The following is a 7,221-nucleotide window of genomic DNA, read 5'->3' as shown; positions in this document are numbered from 1 at the left end:
GCTTTAAGTGAAGTTTGTCTTTTTTCTTATACTGGGAGATAACTGATGAGTTTGAGAAAATAAGATGAACAAATTATTCTAGAAATACTTAGGTAGAATTTAAGGTGTGAAAAAACATTATTTTCCTCATTTTACTTCACCTCAGCCTAATCTTGTACAGCTCCACAAATCATTCTGCTGTATCTTGCCTCTTTTCTTGAGTGACTGTGGAAGACACTCAAGGATGGCTTATCCATCTCATTTCCAACCCTCTTGCCACGTTCCCTTCTGCATATTACAGGATAGAATCTAAATCTACCTTTTCTACTCTTTCCTATGGTTCATGTTCTACATGCAGCCAGCTTCTACCAAACGAAGGACCATATGTGATATTATGTAGGGGTAAGGGATCACTGAGAAGTGTCCCAGAGGTGATTCTTAAAGCTTTTGTACAGAAAGGCACACATTCCTCACACTTAATTTTATTAACCTATATTTTATTGACCAGAGCAAGTCACATACGTAGCCTTAATTTGTTGCATAAAATACACTTTCACCAAGGACAAGCAGCAAATATTGGAGAACGATGATATAGACATAGTACTTTAAAGAGGAGAATGGCATCATCTTATTTATGTCAGGGAATGGATTGCAGAAAGACAAGAATGGAAATCAGTTAGGAAATTATTTCAGAAGTCAATGCAAGATATGACCTTAGCTTCTGTAGGGCAGTTGGAGGTGGAGAGAATTTAATGCATTTTGGGAAATGTTTTGGTGGTAAAATCAGCGTGACTTGGTGATGCATTAGACGTGGAGGATCAAGGAAAGGGTTAATTCAAAGATGATTCCTAAATTATTACTTCACCAACTATGATCAACATTAACCCAAGAAAACACAGGATCCAGGAAATATAATTCACTTTCCCATTTCACTATGAAATGAAATGCTTTCCACAATTACCACAGAAAATGTGCCAGGAGAAGATGCAACTACATATGTCTTCAAAAGCATTAAGGAATATACCATACCTACGCTGTTTACAGTAACCAGGGCCAAACACATTTTACAAAGATATTATAATGCTGATAACAAAATTTAAGAAAGACCAAAATGGAAAAAAAAAAAAACTTAGGCTATAAATTTAACATAGATTACCTGAAAAAGTCTAAATTTATACTAGCCAATTAGACTCCAAAGAAACTTAAAATAATAATGTACAATGATTAGCGTCTAATTCAAAAATGTGATTTAAAATTTATAAAATCTCTAATATGATAATTACATAAGAGGGTCAAAGAGAGGATAAGTCATATCACCTCTTACCCCTTTCTTCTATGAGGAGGTTTACCAAAGGCTTTGTTCTAGTAATTTCTTCCCAAAAAGTTTGCCTAATAAAGCAGTTAGAATAGAACAATGAGATTCAACTACTTTTCACTCAAATGTTCCCAATTCAGGTCTCTAGTGAGTAATTTGTATCTCAGTGATCTTCAGTCTAATTGACTCTCAGTTTAATGGCACCCAAGCTTCTACACAAAGGATTAATTACCTTAGCATACTTCCACAGACAAGGCAATAGTGTTTTTGGATTGTTTCATTTAAAGTTTTTTCCTTCTTATTTATTGTCAATAGCAAATGAGAGAGCTGGAGATAAATACATATTGTAAACATATAAGGCAACAAATAACTACTTAAAACTAATTGAAGATTTTATTTATGCTATTTATTTATTTACATGCTCACTCATTCACATTTATTTCTGCATACACTCAACAAATATTTACAGTGTTCCTAATGTGTTCTAAACACCGGTAGGATTTGGAAGGAAAATTTCTGAGAAAAAGAATCTTATTATTCTAAAACTCTATATCTAAACATAGAAATGTATTTAAGGAAAAAAAGGCAAGGCTCAAGTTAGCTTAAAACAAATGTTCACAAAATACTATTAATAGATAGATAGATGAAGTGTGACAATGTAACCAAGTATGTGGTTGATAATGTATGCAAACCACATTAAGTTCAATATGGATAAGATTCAAAAACAGAGCAGAGAACTTGTTCAATTTGTCATTGTATCAGTGTAATCAGAAAACAATTGGTACATACTTAAATCATGATAATTCAGGAGGATTTAATAAAGGGATTAATTAAAAAGCTGTAAGGAAGATGAAGGGTAAGCTCAAGGTATACTGAAGCCTCTAATGCAATTAGGGACAGTGTGGTTGTTACCACTCCTAGGTCTAAGAGATACGGAAAGGAGGCTCTTAGAATAGTCTCAGAGAAAGGACTGCAGAGGGAGGCAAGACCAACAGCCTAAGACTAACAGAGACAAGATCAGGAAAAAAATACCCAGACTTCACATTCCTTTTTCCCTTCAACCTCCCACTCTCCTTGCTAGCCAGACCCAACTAGAAGCTAAAGCAAAAGTTGATGTAGTCACTACAAACCTATTCTTCCAAGGCAGAGGACTGAGTAGATCATGAAGGAAAAAGAAAATGGATGACAGCAACCAGTCATCTCAAGTACAATGCAAAATTGTAAAAAATTAAATGTATAACAAATACTATAATTATACTATCACAGTTATGAGCCATATCACACCGTTAAAAACCCAGTGTTTACATTTTAATAGACTAATAACTCTAATAAGCACAAATTAGCACCCCAGAAATTGTCTCAGAGGTTACTGAGGCTTTATTCAATGTCTATAGTGTATTTTTCCTTTCTCTCAGATTGGAGAATGTCTGCTGGTTTATTTTTTAAGTTTGCTGACTTATTGCCATTATTGCCATTCTGCTGTTAAGACTGCCCAACAATTTTTTTTATCACACATATTGAATTTTTCAGTTTTGAAATGTGTATGTTTTATTTTTATATATTTATATATTCCATCAGTTTGCTGAGATTTCTTACTCTTTTATTCATTATGAGGACTTTTTTTCTTCCTATTAAGCTCTTTTGACTGCTTTGCCAAAATTATTGCCATAAATTTTGTTATTGTTAAAATAATAAAAATGTTGGCATACTAGATAAAAAGTAAATTACCTACTTTTAAAAAAAATTTGAATGCATGGCTAATAGCATAATTTGGATATATTTCTGATTTTACTATTGTTTATTAAATAGAATAATTTAGATCACTTTTATTTAAAGTTAACAAAAGTAGCTTTTAAGGGAAGAGGATGGTTAGGAGAAGTGTATGTTCAAACTTCTGATAGAAGTGATGGAGAACAGATACTGTTCATGGAAGAGTTCGCTTTGAAAATAAAAGATTAATTGAATTGTGAAACATAACATAAAAAGTATGTTTTATCTTCAGATAGACTGGATTGCTTTTATTTAAAGTTAACAAAATAGCTTGTAGGGAAGAGGAAAGTTAGGAGAAAAGCATTTACAACCTTCTGATACACGAATTACATTTTTTAGAATGAGATACATTGGGTTATTTAGTAAATACATATAAAATGTATGTAAAAATAATGTTAAGTGATAAGGTACAAGAAAGTGAAAAAAATAAATGACAAAAATACCCACTGTATCTTTATACTGTAAAAGAAAGAATCCAAGCTAAATATCTAAATAGATATACTCATGCAAAATAATATTATACCAACATTTTCAAAAAGGTAATATGAATATAAAGACACATGAACAATTTGTATAAAATATGCAACAAAAAGCTGAAAAAGCAGGATATAAACTTGCTTCTACAGAATGGTTACAAATATGTAAATTTAAGTCTCAAGATGAATACAACCTGGAAGAAAAATTGAAAGAATTTTTTTTATTTGTTGGGAATACAGACTGTGGCTAAAATTGTGTCCCTTTTTTAGGGTTCTATAAATATTATAAGGTTGATTGTATAATCAAAACATCTATTTTAACCTACTTTTGGTTTTTGTTTAAAAATAAAACCATTTTAGCTAAATAAAATCTATTAAGCTCTAGACTGTTATATTCAAACCTCAAATTTAACTGAGAATTATAGTCGTAGCAGAAATTTCATTTTCGAAACTGATGATATCTACTTTATTTGAAGAATTCAGTATTGCTGTAGAGACCTGCCAAATGCAACTTGAAGTAATCCAAGAACCAAAAATAGCATTCGTTATTTATCTCTTTATTCATCTATTTGCTTATGGAACAACTACTCATTATGTTTTTAGTTTGTGCCAAGTACTGAGATGTGTATTGGAATGAGTAAAACATATTCCCTCCCCTCAAGATCGTAGAATACTGGAACAGGCAGACTTACAAAGAGAAACAAACACAAACCTTTAGTAGAGATTTGCTTCATATATTATTAACACGCAGATGATATCTCTAGTTGGCCTAGAAAGACATGATGGAGAACAGATGCTGTTCATGGAAGAATTCACTTTGAAAATAAAGGATTAATTGACTTCTGAAGGATGACATAACAAGTGTCAAACATGGAAAGTGGGAAAGCAGCAGGTAGTCAATTTCTTAGTCAGAATTAACATTTGAAAAAACTGAAGGCTGGGGCCAGGATGTAGCCTGTAAGCACTGGAGCATAAGTACACCTATAGAGTGACATGCTATAAAACTGGAAACATAGGCAGGAAAGTGAATCATGAAAAATCCTGTATGGCATTAATATTAAACCTTTAAACTTTATAGATTGTTTACCATTATACATATATTTAAAATTATATTCAACAGTATTACATTCTATAATAAAAACACCTTCTTCATAACATGATTAAATGAAACAATTGGGATAATCTCAGTTCAATCATATTCAAATAGGACAAATTCTAAAATATCTCTATAATTTAACAAATCTAATGTTTAGTTTTTAAATTAATCTATGTTATGCAGTTCAATGTCTTAAATTTATTCATTAAAATGATGGCAACATTTAAAAATATTTAACACTGCAAGACATGTTATCAAACCATTCCAGATGGAAAATAATAATAATTTTATGTACTACAAATGGGAAAATGCTAATAAAAGCAATTGAATTTCTATGAGCCAAATCATCAATAAAATCCTGCAAGCGAGTTATATTTGAATATATTATTTTAATTATGCTGATTATCTGAGATTTGTAGCTATTCCCTAACAAAAAGAACAATATGTATGACATCCTTCAATAATTATAAAAATACTACTAATTATTGCTAACGTTTATTAAATGGTTCCTGTTGCTAGGCCTAATACTAAGCATGTATTTCTCATCTCATTCTCACAATAACCATGTGAGATAGACACTATCACTATCTATGTTTTAAAGGGAAAAAATCTGAGACTTAGAAGGTCTGGATAGCTCTCCAAAGTATCTTAGCTAAGAGTTAGAGCTATGATTTAAACTCAAGTCTCTGTTTTCAGAGGCTAAGATAAGGAGACACTTGGGATCAGCTCACTTTATTTCTGTGGTGACCTATTTCAGGTTTTCTAAAATAAAGTAATTTACTAAGCTGGGAAAAATAAAAAGCTAGCAGTGAATTTTTTTCATGGGAAATAATTTCTTTTTCCCCCTTAACAAATCAATTTTTACTCTGCAACATGAAAATTTATCAGATTTGTCATGGTATGCCTAACTGTGGGCTGTTATTAACAAACGTAAAATTATCAGGACAGAGTGTTTGACTTGATAACCTGAAGTGATCAAAATTCCACAGGTTAATTTTTATGGTGCCTACATTGGTATTCCCATTTGTTAGTTCTCAGTGAGTTGACACTAATTCCAGCAAAGGAAAATAAAGAAATTCTTACAGCTACTGTTTGTTTCCCTGGAACATTATTGCCTTTGGTCACATTACTTTACATGATGAAGTATCTACAGATATTTATCTATATACAATTAACGTTCCATAATTTTTTTATTCAAAGCAATTTTAATTACAAATTAAAGAATGCCTTCAATGAAGAGATGGATTAATTGCCTATTCTGACTTGCTTTTAGAATCAAAATAGTTCTTTTGTATTAATAAACAGAAGAAAGTTGCTTCCTCAACATAGCTTACTTCTTTGTAGATACAGATTCAATACTTCTCACAACAATAAAAAAAAATTAAAGTTTTAAAACCATAAAAATGTATAGAAGGTCCTAAGAATAGGAAGATGATACATACCTGGGAGATTAAAAAAAAAACTAAACCCCACCTACTCATATTGAACCAATGAAACCAGGCTGTAGAAATATATTTTTCTTGTCACAGAGCCTAATGTAAACATTTCCTTTGACAAAATCATATAGAGATGGCTATTGATTATTTCTCTCCAATAGCAGAATTTAGAATTTTTTAAAGTGAATTTTCCTTCTGCCATTTGCTTCTTTTACAGATTGTCATTGTTATACTTTGTTTGCTTATTGTGCATAAAGACTAGATGCATAGTTTACAATGTATCTGCAACACTAATAAAAAGTAAAAAAGTTATACTTTGGGAAAATTATTTTAATGCTCACCAAATATGTGTTGGTGAGTGCATAAACTTTAAATGTTCTGGGACCATTAATAATACATTTCAGAAAATAATCAGAAATAAAAACCAAAATAAACATTAAGTTTGGGAATAAAAGTTACAGTCAGAAAATGGAAGAGATTATAAACTATCAGTTTTCCTTTCCTCTTCATCCATCCCATATCCTATGAGATATCACTTCAAAGCAGTCTTGTCAGCACCCTTAACTCTCTTGTCACATACCCTGTATACATAACCAATGAACACCTCAGCCACTCTTCGACTTGACTTTACAATTCTGGTCACTGTCATAGAAATTCACACAATTGTTTGGATAGGTGTTTCTTTACATTTATGGTATTAAATCCATGACACTTCAGCTAAATCCTTTGATACTTCTTGAAAATTTTCCTTTTTTCTTGACTGCACCTAGTAATTTCCAACCACCATTTTCCTCAGTGGTATCGTCAAACTTCCCATACTTTCTTCAAACTGCTTCTCTAGTTCCTTACATGCTCAGAATGTCCTGGCCGCTTGTTAAACTAATATTTGAGTACATTCTGTGCAATGTCCTATTTTCTTGCCAACAAAACTATTTGCAGCACCGTATCTTTGAATATTTTCCCTCATTTCATTACTTTTTCCAGGCCTGTGAATACCAATGGCAGCATGTCTTTCTGGATTTGGACATTCGTACTTAGAATATGCTACTGCTAGAAGAGTTGGGTTGTCCTGTGAAGTCCTGTGGGAGGCGAGAAATGATTCACCATTGTGCTGCCACTACAAAACAAAACAAACCAGAAGGAAACATA

The sequence above is a fragment of the Homo sapiens genome, chromosome 9 (genome assembly GCF_000001405.40).
Source record: "Homo sapiens chromosome 9, GRCh38.p14 Primary Assembly".
Taxonomy (NCBI): domain Eukaryota; kingdom Metazoa; phylum Chordata; class Mammalia; order Primates; family Hominidae; genus Homo; species Homo sapiens.
Note: the sequence above shows the minus strand (reverse complement) of the source record.